Source organism: Homo sapiens, chromosome 2 (genome assembly GCF_000001405.40).
Source record: "Homo sapiens chromosome 2, GRCh38.p14 Primary Assembly".
Classification (NCBI taxonomy): Eukaryota; Metazoa; Chordata; class Mammalia; order Primates; family Hominidae; genus Homo; species Homo sapiens.
The window spans coordinates 164,653,094-164,669,229 of NC_000002.12; the positions used below are offsets into that span (position 1 = coordinate 164,653,094).

The 16,136-nt window shown below is 37.5% G+C and overlaps 1 protein-coding gene across 1 annotated transcript in view; it reads right to left on the reverse strand.

Annotated features, from left to right (window-relative positions):
* Positions 1-4,837: 4,837 nt before the first annotated feature.
* COBLL1 (cordon-bleu WH2 repeat protein like 1) overlaps positions 4,838-16,136 on the reverse strand; it is a 184,146-nt gene continuing 172,847 nt past the window's right edge. Inside the window, exons 15-16 of the mRNA NM_001365671.1 lie at positions 12,754-12,808; positions 4,838-5,418 (exon numbers count right to left, since the gene is read on the reverse strand). Coding sequence (NP_001352600.1) covers positions 12,800-12,808 — 9 coding nt within the window. The 3' untranslated portion in view covers positions 4,838-5,418; positions 12,754-12,799. The remainder of the gene's footprint in view (positions 5,419-12,753; positions 12,809-16,136) is intronic.

The window sequence follows — 16,136 nt, forward strand, 5'->3', positions numbered from 1 at the left end:
ATAGTTCAGTTAGTTTCTTTTCTTCTGTGCTCCGATAGCATATCTCTGTTTATATTTTATTACAATCACTTCTCAAACTGTGATTCACTGATCAGCAGTATCCATAGCCTGGAAGCTTGTGTGAAATGAGGAATCCCAGGTCCCACTCCAGACCTAGTGAACTACAATCTGCATTTTAAGGAGATCCTCAGGTGGTTCCTATACACATAAAAATTTGAGAAAGGCTTTTATTGACCATATCATGTGAGGTTTGGATGTCTGCCTTTCACACTAAATGCTGCATTTCTCTAGACAACAACCATTTATTTCATTTTTTACTTATTTAATACAGTGTCAGTTTATGCTAACCACTAAATGTATATTAAATAAGTGAAAGAGAAAATGGAAACAGATGGTTTAGTGGTCACCTAAGTTGGAGTGACAAAGCCAGGATTCTATCGACATTTATGCTATGCCACTTACAAAATGTCTTTCCTTTCCATTTCTGAACCTCCAAGATGATGGATGACACACTTATAGTCACAAGGCTATTTTAAGTGGCAAAGAGGACTCTAGAACACTAGAACACTAGTTTTTTTTCTTGACACTTAGTTGAAGATCTTCCCATTGTGTCATTTGGCCTCTATCTGTCAGAAGAACAAATGGGAAACACATTAATTGAACTTCTGTCCTCACAATGCAAGTCTCAAAGAGCATCTGCCATGATGAATGAAAATATGTTTGTAGTTCACAGTGTGCTTCAAGTCATTAGTACTGGATTAAAGTCCAGTAAGCCAGGATCAGTGAACATCTTTATGCCAAAGTTAAGGCAGATGCCCTAACTGAAAAACAAAAAGGAAAACAAAAACATAAGAAATAATTAGGAATATAATTAATCAATTTACCAATTTGATTTTCTCTATCTGGTGCAAAAATTTTCTTGTAGCATTAATTATATTTTATAGTACATTCATTTAAATATGTGATACATAATGATTACAAATTTCCATTTTGAATAAGACATATTTATACCCCAAATGATTCTTTATTTATGTATTCCAAGTATGCTTGAATATTTTGGGCAGAAAACATACATGATGTTTTATAATTGCCACCAATATATCTTGCTTTTCTTTGTTTCAGTTTTGAAATAATTATCATGCCATAAGTGGCCTATTTACTCATTATTCCTTTATTTATGGGATATGTACTATGTACCAGGCACTGTGATATGCTATACCATCAGGAAATTCTACCTCTAAGAATCTTATGGGGAAGTCGGGGAGATAGCCAAAGAATCAAGTAGTTTACAATGAACTTTTACAAAGGGGTAAACAGCGGGTACTTACTATGGTCTGAAATTCATATGTTGAAATCCTAACCCAAGGTATTAGAAGGTGAAGTCTTTGGGAGGTGATTAGGTCATAAGAACAGAGCCCCCATGAATGGGATTAGTGCCCTTTTAATAGAGGCTCCAGAGGTAGCCTCGCCCCTAGCAACAAGGCACCATCTATGAACTAGAAAGTAAGCCTTCACAAGACACTGAATCTGCCAGTGCCTTTATCTTGGACTTCCTAGCCTCCAGAGCTGTGAGAAATAAATTTCTGTTGTTTGTTAGTCACCCAGTTTATGGTGTTTTGTTATTGCAGCCTGAATGGACTAAGACAGTACTAAAGGGCATCTAGTAAGAAATAGGACCAGGCCCAAGTTTGGAGAACAGAAAAGCTTTTGCAATGATAACTATGAAGCAAGGTCTCAAAGAATGAGTAGAATTTAATATGACAAATTATGTAGAATAGGATGTTCTAGGCAGAAGAAGAGAGCTGCATGTGTAAAGCCCTAAGCCAAGAGAAAGGATGAAAGTTTCAAGATAACTACAAGTAGTTCAGTAAGGGTGGAGCAGAGCTTTGCTGGTGCAAGGGAAAGAATGGTATGGAGAATGATAAGTTAAAGCCAGACAAGAAAGCAGGGTCAAGATCATGAGGGGTGCTGAATGTCCCACAAAGGAATTTGGGCATCATTTTAAATAATAAGAGTAATATGTAATGCATTTCTAGTGCTTACTGTAGGCCCTGCATTGTTCAAAACTCATCTCACTTAGTTTTCACAACCACCATATGCTCCAGGTACTCTTACTACTCCCAATTTTTCAATAATAAAACATACTCTGAGAGCCACTGCAAGTGAAATCTTCTCTGAAGATTTGAGCTTCGTTTGGCATTGGCTGCCAAAAGATGAAGCCAGGGAGATTCCCTGTAGGTATTTTCCTTGGGAACCATCACAGATCCACTGTGAAGAGGAAAGCCAGCCAGTTCTGGAGTGTCATCACCTTTTGCTCCAAGAATATTTGCAATCTTTCCCAAAGGAGGGAGAAAAGATTCTGTATTGGCTTAAAAGATTCTGTATTGGCTTAAAAAGGCTGAATCATTCTCAGAGGTGAGATCTAGGCTACTGAAGGAATGACTCAGAGGAGGTGAATTAAACAGAAAGTTCCCAAATTTCCTCATAGTAAACCTTGGAACCTAGTCTCTCATGAAAGGGTTTCTGTACCAAGAACCTACATCCTTGGGAAAGGTGTTTCCTGAGTTTGCTGTCTGCTAGTTTATACACTCTCTCTAGACAATCAATCTGTGCTGTAGTTCAGAAAGCAAAATGAGATGATGTAAAAAAAAAATTCTCACATTTCTGCTCACACAATGGAAAATTAGATGCAGAAGCACTACATTTAACCAACTTTGTTCAACAATCTTTAGTTACACCTGTTTTATACACACACACAAAACAAGTCATTGGAACATCAAAATGTTAGCCCACTTGGTTCATTAGGAGTTTCATGATATTCGTGCAGTGGGTACTGCCAAGTCCTGGGCATATGGCTCCACCATGTGGATGAGACTCTGCAAATAATACTGACAATATTTTTTTTTCTTTTTTTTAAGACAGAGTCTTGCTCTGTTGCCCAGGATGGAGTGCAATGGCCCAGTAATGGCTCACTGCAGCCTTGACAGCCCAAGCTCAAGTGATCCTCCCACCTCAGCCTCCTGAGTAGCTAGGACCGCAGGCATGCACCACCATGCCTGGCTAATTTTTAAATATTTATTTATTTATTTATTGTAGGAACAGTGTCTCCCTGTTGCCCAGGTTGGTCTCGAACTCCTGGTCTCAAGTGATCCTCTCACTTCAGCCTTCCAAAATGCTGGGATTTTAGGTATGAGCCACCATGTCCGGCTGACAATAATTTTTAAAAAAGAATTTAAAGTTATAATAAAAATCAGAGATCATAGGTCAAACCCTTATTTTATAAATGAAAAGAGTTAAAGCAATTATATGAACTAATTCACTCTTAATTCACCCATTCAATCATTTTAATTATTGAATAATGAGATTAATATGTTCAGTGGGTATTTGCTTTATTTTTGTCTACATATAATCTAAGCCCCTTTTCTACTTGGGAGCAATTTTGTTGTGTAAATGTGGTGGGGCAAAAACCCCACTTCCCTCTAGGGAATGGGAAAGAACATTTAACCTCTCTTCTCACCCCATGAACTAAGATATAGGCATGTCTCTTAGTAAACCAACAGGATATTCAATGCAGGAATGTTGGATCTGTAGTAAGTGACATATTGGGATAGTTAGAGGTTGTTCTGGAGGAGGCAGTAAAACTTGACTAGGTCAAGTAGTCATAGTAGTGGTAGCTGTTCATGCCAGCAGCAATGGTGAGGACCTAGTGGTGGCACTGCTAGTGACAATGTCCTATCAAGCTGTTACTGAGATATAAGTTTAGATACATTTTCTCTTCCCACTCTCTAAGGCCCATTTCCTGAGCGTGGTTATTTAGCCTTCCTATGGACTGTCTGAGCCAACCTATATTCTTCCAGTGTAGTTCTTTTCTGGTTAGTAAAGCCAGAGTCTGTTTTTGTTGTGCAGCAAAAGACCCTCATTTAAACAGAAATTGTTACCAGTCGCTAGTTACAGCACAGAGCCTCAGTGAAATGGGCAGAATCTAGGGTTTGTATCTGACCTTGTTGAGGCTGAAGGAATTTTAAATCCTAATCATTTTAGGGATGGAATTTAGATCTGCCTCATCCTAGCATGGAAAAGTGAAACAGCTAATTAAATTATTTCCTGTGGTCACCTGGAACAAATCCTACTACCCTGTAGTTGTCACATGCTGTGTGGTTGCCAAGACAGGCTGCGTGTAGATGCCCCAGTCACCAGTCCTAGTCTTTGAGTCAGACCAGTTTAGGTACTAGATATGTGAATGAACAAGCTTTCAGATGCTTCCAGCCCACAGTCATTGAGTCATCCCCAGGCTTCGAGACTTCCTAACTGAGGTCACAGACATCATGGAGCAAAGATAAATTGTCTCCCACTCCAATTCCTTACCCACAGAATCCATGATTAGAATAAAGTGATTGTTTTAAAACACAAAGCTGTGGGTTAATTTTTTATGCAACAACAATAACTAGAACAGGAACCTACACCAATTCAGCTGTTAAGGCACTGGTTAGACAGCCAGGCACTTGAAAATAGTGAACTCGGAGCATTGTGGAGGAAGTTTAGGGAAAGGGTATGCTGAAGGGGTATGACCCTTTATAGTGAGCCCAGAACGAGAATATATTTCTTGGAAAGTTATATTCACCACAAAGCCTCTAGTGTGAATAAGGTGACCCACTCAGTAGACATAGGTCACCCTTCTTTCTCAGAAAATTACAGTGGACTCAAGAACCACATGTTCATCATGGAAGGAATGAAGGTTATTCATGGTTTCAACAACATGGAGTTCTTACCAATGGTAATATGGCTACGGTCTTTACAAATGATCCATTTTTTTTTTTTGCAGTTGCAAGATTTGATAGAGTGAAGTAGAGTGAAAACAGAGCTCCCATACAAAGGGAGGGGACCCAAAGGGGGTTGCTGTTGCCGGCTTGAATGCCTGGGTTTATATCCCGATCATTGTCCCTCCCGCTGTGCTCTCAGGCAACAGGTGATTGGCTATTTCTTTACCTCCTGTTGTTGCCTAATTAGCATTTTAGTGAGCTCTCCTTACTATCTGATTGGTCATGTGTGAGTTAAGTTGTAAGCCCCGTGTTTAAAGATGGAAGCGGTCACCTTCCCAGCTAGGCTTAGGGATTCTTAGTCGGCCTAGGAAATCCAGCTAGTCCTGTCTCTCAGTCCCCCCTCTCAACAGGAAAACCCAAGTGCTTTTGGGGAGGTTGGCCGAAGACCGCTCTAACTGCTTCCTGTTGAACTGGGGCATAGTAGGGGTGGTGCAGTTGAGATTTCCTTGGGAGGGGTGCCTTCAATGTCATTAACATCAGAGCATGGGCTAGCAGGCCGGTCCAGGGGTCCACGGTAGATCTTAGTCATGGACTGCATCTGGGGCTCCATTTGAAGAACGATTTGTAGTTTTACAGCTTTGATTCTGGAAGAGACAAACTTAACAAGGAGGTTAAAGATATAGGGATTGAAATGTATGGCCTGCAGTGCAGGGGATTATTTCTTTGGCACACTTCACAGGCCCTGACTATCTGCCTGATAGTTTTGAAAAGGCCTGGTCCAGTAAATAATAATTTGGCCATCTGATGGGTGCTATCAATGCCTAAGTGAAAGATTTGGTGAAGGGTTTTAAGTAATTTCCATTGGTTAGCTGCAGGCAAAAGTACTTTTCCTTCTTTGGTGGCTAGCCATCCTGAGGGGAGAAAACTGTGTCCTCATGAGGTTCCCCAATCTATTTCTCCTGCTGAGCATTGGGGCTTGGTTTCCTGGAGGGGATTACCCCATACTAGGGGTCCTTCTATAAGCATCTCTAATGGAGGGTCCTGCCTTGTGGCTCTTTTGGCTTCAATATCTGCTTGACAGTTCCCTTCTATTTCCCTTTCCCTTCCTTTCTGATGACCCCAGCAGTGTAAGACTGCCACCTCTTTAGGTTTCTGTACAGCCAATAATAATCTCCTAATGGCTTCCTGATGTTTGATAGGTGTTCCCTCGAAATTAAGAATTCCCTTTCTCTCCATATTGCTGCATGGGCATGGAGGACTAGGTAAGCATACCTAGAGTCTGTATATATATTTACTCTTTTTCCTTCTCCTAATTCTAGTGCCCGAGTGAGGGCTATTAGTTTTGCCAGCTGAGCACTAGTTCCTGGAGTGAGGGGATTACTTTAAAGTATTCCATTATCACTGACCACTGCATACCCCGCTTTTTGAAGTCCTTTTTCTACAAAGGAACTTCCATCAGTATACAAGTTGAGGTCAGGATCAGTTAAGGGAAACACTAAAAGGTCCCCTCGAGTGGCATAGGTTTGAGCAATTACTTGTTGACAGTTATGTTCTATCTTTTCTTCATTGTCTGGAAGAAATGTGGCTGGGTTAAGAGTTGCACAAGTGTGCAGTCGCAGCACTGGCCCTTCAAGTAACAGAGCCTGATGTTTAAGTAAATGGTTGTCTGATAGCTACAAGTCTCCTTTAGCAGTGAGTATGCCGTTCACATCATGAGATGTCCACACAGTAAGATCTCTTCCCTGTATTATTGTAACTCCATTTTCTAATAGCAGTAGACCATCATAAGTCCTTATAAGCATTATACCTAGAAGGACCAAAGAACTATTTGGTGTCAGGTTGTCCGGAGTGGGCAACTGCCATCTTTTAGGGAATAAGGAGTGAGTAGCAGAAATCTTTCCTTCTTGCAATAAATATTTATTCTGGATTTTTTTTCTTTTATTGATCATTTTTCTCTGTCCTTGCTCTATCTATAGATTGTCTACCATATGCAAGGGCATGGTATCCCACACAAAGTTGCTTCAGTTTAAAGGAAATAACTTTATAGAGAAACAAAGCAATGAGCTAATGTTCAAGGGATTTGTGGGTATTGCATACTCCATGAAAACTCAGATGAGCTTCATTCAGAGTCAATAGCTTGCAAATTTGAGGTACTGTCCTGCAGAATACAGTTTATGTTCTGAATAAGTGACTACCACATGGCATTCTTTTACCCCCTTAGCTAAAATATATGCGTCTGGAGTCCTAGGACTGGAAACTGGGATGCAAGCCTTTGAGATTACACTTATTGACACATTCTAATTGTCTGCTTTCTGTCCTTTTGATTTTGGACTCTGATAGCATAGCACCAAGAAAAGGGGAATTCTCTACCAAGAGACACAGTAATATTGCATTGATTTGGAAATTAAGGCTGTACGAGTTTGGAGTTTTAATGCCGTAAGTAAACAGGGAAATAAAAAGATTGTCACTGTTGTTAATGTGTTATTGTGTTTTCTTGTTCCTCTTGGGGGAAAGTAGAGTTATTGCTATACTTGGGGATTGGGAGAAAGTGTCAACGAAATTATACTGCAACCTGATTCAGGAGGGCCACGAGGGGTTCAAATCCCTGACTCTGACCCAGTGAGATTCAAACTGAAGGCAAAGGAAGTGAAGTAGAGGAGGAGACTCACAAAGTTCCATTGAGGCCTCAGCTGAAAAACAAGCCCAGTAGTACACTACCTATGTTCCTTTTGGTGTATTATACTCATACTGTGTTGCTTTGTTATTAATGGTTTCTGTCAATTTGTAATCAAGAGTTGACTGGTACAGTTTCCTAATTGGTTGTTGACTCATTTTTCTGGAAAATGATACAAAAAGCAGCAGACATCTAATTTTAAGTTCATATGTAACTGGAATCATATGAATTTGCATCCATTTTAACTAAATTACATTACATACAGCAATCATAGCTCTTGAATAATACTACATTTTAGGTAAGTGTGCATATAAAACATTACAAAATGGGTTTGATTGAAACATTTAATCAAATAGTGATTTAAACCCTAATGGGACTCTCATTTCCTGGATTTTATAGTTATAGAGACTGTACCTGTGAAGTTATTGATTTTAGATAGTATTTTTCTGATTCAAAACATTTATGTCTCAGCTTAACATAAAATCTTTCATGTGCCAAACATAAAAATTACATTTCAACTAGTTTCTACCGTGAAATTGAACTCCTTTCTTAAATATTCTTTATAATAAAAGTAATGGAGTTTGGGAGGAGAACATTACTCTTTAGTATATTACATTCAGTACCTTATTATTGGGGGAAAGAGTGTCAAAGTTTAAGAATTAATCATTTTTGGAGACTCTATAACTCATTATGATATTTATATATTAAGAAATAAATACTGTGAGTTTAAAAAAATGATAACCAGCTATGGGATGGAAATAAGCATTTTATATTAAAATTATTTGCCACATGACAGGAAAATGAATCCTTGAAGGATACAAGCTTTGGCTCATACAAAGAAGAAACTATAATGATTTGGGGTTGAAGTCTTTCACAATAAATTGATAGTTATGTAAGAATAGTATTTTACTTTGTTTATAGAGCAATTTATCATAGAAAAGTGTTTAATTAAGACTGTAAAATGATTTACCACTGACATTTTAAGCATTTCCAAACATTTCCACATAAATTAAACATGATGTAATTTAGTGGTGGATTAAGCAATGTTCCACTGTTGATTCATGTGGAAATCACAGAAGTTCACTGATTACTATCTTTCCAGTGTGTATTAATGTAGATGTCATAGGTATTTTCATGAGAATCACACTTCAATGTGCCATTTTAAATATTGAAATAGAGTTTTCAAAATGTCATAATCTTTTGCAGATCCATAAACTGTTTGGAATTTAATTTATAAGTAAGTACTATAGTATTAGGATTACTTCAAGTAAAGCCATATATTTAACTTAAGGCATATTTAATTATTTGTGTTTTTCAACAAATAAGTTATTTCTTGTTAAGAAGTAATGTTTTTTATGGTTATTCATTTTTGATTCTAGCATAAAAATAATCTTGGCAATAGGCTGTTTCTTAATTCTGCTCTTTTGAGCTTCCTAATAATCACACAAATTATTCACTCTTGTTTTTAAATTCATATCCAGATATGCATCAAAAGGAACTTAAGGCAGGTTACTGATATTGTTTTTAATATAGAGAAATTCAAAATGTTTTGAATTGAGAGTATTTTTAAACAAGGTAAAGGAAAAAATAAGTATGGAAAAGTTAGATGGAGCCAGAAGTCGAGTTAACATCTAAAAAACATACACTTGCTAGTGATGAGCTGCAAATTTGGCTTCAGGCTCTCCAGCAGCCAGATATTCCTTAAATAGCTTGGGTCTGTCTTCTCACAGAAGCCAAAAATTTGTCTGAATGACCTTGAGGCTACTCAGCCTTGCTTAGTAAAGCATAAGATTACAAGTAGACCTTGCTTCACACAAGAGATTTGTTACCAAGAAACTGTGTGGAAATGGAAATTTTGCACATGGAATCATATTATAAATGCACTAATGAAGGAATCATAAATGGCTCCTTTCAAAGAAAACCTACAAGTACTCCCTGTGTAACATGGAACTAATAAACTTACTTCTGTTATGCATTTAGCATTTTTAATGTTGGATTTTCTGAAGAGTCAGTGATATCGTTTCAATATATGTCCCTGCCAAATCTCATGTTGAAATGTAATGCCTAGTGTTGGAGGTGGGGCCTAGTGGGAGATGTTTGGATCATGGGAGTGGCTTTCTCATTAACGGTTTACCATTATCCCTTTGGTGCTGGGTTAGCATTATCCCTTTGGTGCTGTCCTCATCATAGTGACTGAACTCTTGGGAGATCTGGTTGACTAAAAGTGTGTGACAACTCCCCTCACATTCTCTCTCTTGCTCCTGTTCTGGCCACGTGACATGCCTGCCCCCATCTTGCCTTCCGCCATAAGTCAAAGCTCCCTGAGACCTCCCCAGAAGTTAAGCAGATGCTGGCACCATGCTTGTACAGCCTGCAGAATGATGAGTCAATTAAATCTCTTTTCTTTATAAATTACCCTGCCTTGGGTATTTCTTTATAGCAATGCAAGAACAGCCTAATACAGTCAGTATAATATCATGGCAACATCCTTTCATCTCAGTTTCATGGTAGTAGACATATTAAATGTATGCATTGGACTTTTCAGGGCAGGGTTTTAGTCAATATGTAAAAACTTCTAATTTCCATTTTGTTTTGTTTTATCATGTTTTATTGCCTTCGTTTAATATTCTGAGGGCATAGGGCAACCTGCACATTTAAATTTCTTTCTTCAATGCACATACATTTGAAAATGTAAATAAAGGTAGCTATAGCTATAATCCAACATATCCCTAATATTCACCAGTTATTGTCTACCACAATAAATTCTAAATATTGAGCCATGAATCATTTAAAATATCTTTATTTTTTTAAAGTCCTTTTTGAATGCTTGTTCACTGTTGGTAGGAATGTAAATTAGTTTAGCCACTGTGAAAAGCAGTTTGGAGGTTTCTCAAGTATTTAAAAATAGAACTACAATTCACCCCAGCACTCCCATTACTGCATATGTACCCAAAGGAAAATAAATTGTTCTACCAACAACTATGCAACAGAATTCACCACAGCAAAGACATGGAATCAACCTGGGTGCTCACTGATGCTGGATTGGATAAAGAATATGTGGTACATATACACCATGGAATACTTCACAGCCATAAAAAAGAATGAAATCAGGCCCTTTGCAGAAACATGGATGCCCCTGGAGGCCATTATCCTAAGCAAATTAGCACAGGAACAGAAAATCAAATATTGCATGTTTTCACTTATAAGTGGAGCTAAATCTTGGGTACACATAGACATAAGGATGGGAACAATAGATACTGGGAACACCAAATTAGAGAAGTGAGAAAGCAAGGACTAAAAAACTTCCTATTGGGTACTATGTTCACTATTTGTGTGACAAGATAAATGGAAGCCCAAACTTCACACAGTATACCATTGTAACAGATCTGCATATGTACCCTCTGATCTAAAATAAAATTGAAATTAAAAATAAATGAAAATAAGCTTTAAAATCCTTTTTGCTTTTACTAAAATGTATAATCTTATACTTAAAATAAAAACAATCAGAGTTATTGGAGACTTTATACCTAGAAGAGGCTTCACAGATGAAGTGACAGCTTCCCATTTTGCAGAAAAGCCTATAATGCAGAGAGGGTAAGGTTTTGCTTCCTGTTCTATCCCACTGAGTATTGTTAAATGAAGTCCTATGTATTTGCACACTATTCTCTGATGACACTGCTCAAGCAGTCACCTATGATGGTTAAAGTATAGATAAGCACTAACATGTCATCTATGAAAACAAGGGAGTCATCCCATGGTGTTACATTACCATTTGGAGAGCCATAATTTTCTTTCCTAATAGCTAGTATTTTCAGATGTTAAAAGACACAAATCAAAGAATAGAGTCACATTAGAGTCATTGCCTATATTTGAGACTTCATGACAAAATGAAAAGTTCAATATTATATTTCTTACATTGAAAAGTACTTTAGGGCAATGATCTACTTGGGAAAGAAAGTATTTCCATATGAATAACTCAAAAAATAAATCAACAGCCACACAAAATGAGGGATAATCAATCATTGCAGACAAAGTCAATGAATACCTGGCTAGTTTACTCCAACATGATTAAAATATATAAGTACTATTCAACCGTAAGACTAAACTGTATAAACTAAGTGACAAAACTTTTAATAACAGGTGAGGAAGAACGGTTAATTTCTTCATAAGGCGTCTATTTATATTGAATAAATAAAAAGAAATTAAAAGCATTTTCTCTATTTACAACAGAGCATTTGAATACAAGATGAGAATAACGAGAAGATGTTCTTAGTGACACAAAACCATGGTCATTTAGTTCTCCTGATAAATTATTTAACCAAATAAAGTGCTGTTTAAGAGCTGGCATTGAGTTAACCTTTATGTCCAAAACTGAAAAATGAAAGTGTGGCTAGTTAGCCAGGGTGCCTTTAAAAAAATACACAAAACAGGGTGAAAGAAAAAGTACATGAGAGAATCAACAAATAGAAATGAAAGGTTAAATGGTCATATCAAGATGGCAGATAAAGGAAAACAAAAGTGGGTCGGGCACAGTGGCTCACGCCTGTAATCCCAGAACTTTGGGAGGCCAAGGCGAGCAGATCACTTGAGGTCAGGAGTTTGAGACCAGCCTGGCCAACATGGCAAAACGCCATCTCTACTAAAAATACAAAAATTAGCCAGGTGTGGTGGCGGGCGCCTGTAATTCCAGCTACTCAGGAGGCTGAGACATGAGAATCATTTGAACCCAGGGACAGAGGTTGCAGTGAGCTGAAATCGCACCACTGCACTCCAGACTGGGGTGACAGAGCAAGATTCTGTGTCAAAAAAAAAAAGAAAGAAAGAAAGAAAGAAAGAAAGAATGAATAGCTACTGAAAAGGGAGCCTGAAATTCATGTTGATGGTCACGAAAAACAGTCAGTAACAGGAAAGAGTAACGTAAGTGTCTACTGTAGTTTAAAAAAAAAAAAAGACATGGCATAATTTTTGAAGTGAAATCTTACTTCAAAAAGATTGAAAACCCTACCCCAGAAATTTATTATCAATCTTTTCTAAAATGGCTAATTTGGAAAGAAAAAAGTTACATAGTTGATATTCCTGTTTTAACACCATTGCTGCTATTTATTCAATATTACCTACCATAAGCTGGATGGTAGCTATTTTTTAATTAAATTAATTCAAATGTTGTTTGAGAAATGCAAAATAATTAATAAATGAGCTAAATAAAGGGAGGAAGAGTATGTGGGTTTTTTGGCATTAGAAGAGTATGTCAATTTTCCTCTTCTCACCTCCAGCAACCATAACTATTTAACCAAACACATAAAAAACTGCAGACCTTACCATTTGCCTTCAAGGAGAATGGGTACGTTTCAGGTTTACAGATGCATTATCCATCCTAGTGAGAAAACAGATTGACAGTGCTAGTGTTCTACTTTAGAATGATGATAGTTAACAATAGTATATTATATAGTTTCAAATAGCTAGAATAATATTGAATGTTCCTAACAAAAATAAATAAATGTTTGAGATGATGTGTGATACATATAATTAAGCTGATTGATCACTATATAGTTTATGTATTGAAACATCACTATGTATCCCATAGATATGTATAATTATTATATGTCAATTAGAAAATAAAATAAAACTCTAAACATGAAGTATAGTTATACCTCAGAGATACTGCAGGTTCCATTCTAGACCACTACAATATAATAAATATTGCAATTAAGCAAGTCACACAAATTTTTTGGTTGCCCAGTACATATAAAAGTTATGGACACACTATACTATAGTCTAGTAATTGTGCAATAACATTATGTCTAAAAAACAATGTACATACCTTAAAAATACTATATTGCTAAAAAATGCTAACGATCATCTGAATCTTCAGTAAGTCGTAATGTTTTTGCTAGTAGAAGGTCTTGCCTCAATGTTGATGGCTGCTGATAAATCAAGATGGTGTTTGCTGGAGGCTGAGGTGGTTCTGGTAATTTCTTAAAATAATATACCAGTGAAGCTTGCCACACTAACAAACTCTTCCTTTCACAAAAGATTTATCTGTAGCATGCAATGCTGTTTGATAACATTTTACCCACAGTAGGACTTCTTTCAAAATTTGAGTCAGTCTTCTCAAAACCTGCCGATGCTTTTTCAACTAAGTTTGTGTAATATCTAAATCCTTTGTTGTCATTTCCATCTCAAAAGAACACTTTCTTTGCTCTTCCATAAGAAGCAACTCCTCAACTGTTCAAGTTTTCTTATGAGATTGTGGCAATCCAGTCACATCTTCAGGCTCCACTTCTAATTCTAGCTCTCTTGTTATTTCTACCACATCTGCTGTGATTTCCTCTACTGGAGTCTTGAACCCTTCCAAGTCATCCATGAGGGTTGGAATCAACTTCTTCCAAACTCTTTTTAATGTTGCTGTTTTTACTTCTTCCCATGAATCACAAATGTTCTTAATGGCATCTAGAATGGTGAATCTTTTCCAGAAAGTTTTTACTTTCCTCGGATCCATCAGAAGAATAACTATGTAAGGTATAGCCCCACAAAATGTATTTCTTAAATAATAAGATATTTATTTAATATTATATGTTAAATATTAATCTCTTTATATATCTTCAACAGAGGTCCTGGGTGACTAGGTGCATTATCAATGAACAGTAATATTTTGAAATGGATCTTTTTTTCTAAGCAATTGATGTCAACGGTGGGCTTAAAATATTCAGTAATCCGTGCTGTAAACAGAGGTGCTGTCATCCATGCTTTGGTGTTTTGAGCACAGGCACAGTAGATATAGCATAATTACGAAGGACGCTCATATTTTTTGGAATGCTAAATGAGCACTGGTTTCAACTTAAAGTCACCAGTTCCATTAGCCCCTAACAAGAGAGTCAGCCTGTTCACTGAAGCTTTGAAGCCATTCATTGACTTCTCTCTAGCTATAAAAGTCCTAGATGACATTTTCTTCCAAGAGAAGGCTGTTTTGTCTATGTTAAAAATCTGTTATTTAGTGTAGCCCCGCCTTCATCAATGATCTAATCTAGATCTTCTGCATAGCTTGCTGCAGCTTCTACATCAGCACTTGCTGCTTCACTTTACACTTTTCTGTTACAGAGACAGCTTCTTTTGTTAAACCTTGTGAACTAACCTCTCCTAGCTTCACATTTTTCTTCTATAGCTTCATCTCTCTCAGCCTTCATAGAATTGACGAGAGAGTTAGGATGTTGCTCTGGATTAGGTTTTGGCTCAAGGGTATGTTGTGGCTGCTTTGATCTTCTAGCCAGACCACTAAACTGTCTCCATATTAGCAATAAGGCTGCTTTGCTTTCTTATCATTCATGTGTTCACTGGAGTAGCACTTTTCATTTCCTTTAAGATCTTTTCATTTGCATTCACAACTTGGCTGTTTGGTATAATAAGCCTGTCTCGGCTTTCTTTTTTTTTTTTTTTTGAGATGGAGTCTCACTCTATCGCCCAGGCTGGAGGGCAGTGGCGTGAGCTCAGCTCACTGCAACCTCTGTTATTTTCCAGTTTCTCTGTTATTTTCCAGTTCATGATTGTCCTGCCTCAGCCTCCCAAGTAGCTGGGACTACAGGCATGCACCACCACTCCCTGCTAACTTTTGTATTTTTTGTAGAGGTGGGGTTTCACCATGTTGGCCAGGCTGGTCATGAACTCCGGACCTCAGGTGATCTACCCGCCTTGGCCTCCCAAAGTGCTGAGATTACACGTGTGAGCCACCACGCCCAGCCTGTCTCGGCTTTTGACATGCCTTCCTCACTAAACTTGATCATTCCTAGCTTTTGGTACAAAGTGAGAGCCTTTAACTCTTTCTTTCACTTGAACACTTAGAGGCCACTGTAGGGTTAATTGGCCTAGTTTCAATATGTTGCGTCTCAGGAAATAGGGAGGCCTGAGGAGACAAGAGAGATGGGGGAATGGCTGGTTGTTGGAGCAGTCAGAACACATACAACATTTCTCAGTTGTTTGCTGTCTTACATTTTACAATTACAAAAGTGTGACACAAGGACATGAAGTGAGCACATGCTGTTGGAAAAATCGCACTAATCAAATTACCTGATGCAGGGTTGCCACTAACATTCAATTTGTAAAAAATCCAATGTTCGTGAAGTGCAATTAAGCAAAGCACAGTGAAATGAGGTATGCCTGTATATTTAGTGCCCTGCTTTTTAACTTTTCCTTTTTCTCTGTTATTTTCTCGTTCATGATTATAATTATTTGAAGGAGCAAAACATTCTGTGGATGTTTATTTATCTACTTGTCTATTGTTGAACCATCAGTTTGCTCCTTGGGTTTCATTTATAATTAACACTTCATTTGAGTTCTGCCTGAATTTATATACTTTTTTCTTTTTAATTATTGCCTTAGGATAAATTCCCAGGAATGGGAGAACCTGTGCCAAGTGGTATGAACGGTATGAACATTTACAGTACATTTACAGTACACTTCATAAGTGTTGCTAAATTGTTTTCTAACAGGAATGTACCAATTTATCCTGTCCTTAGCAATAGCTGAACATAGTTTTCCCCCCAAAAGTTGACAGCACTGATTGTTTATCATTTGTTCGTCTTGTGTTTTTAGATACTTTTGTTCTCTTTTTTTCCTCATTATCCGAAAGGGAAGAGTTGATGAACTCAGAGAGCATAGGATTTTTAACTTAGTTTGGAATGAATGAGGAATCTTGTTTTCATTCAATA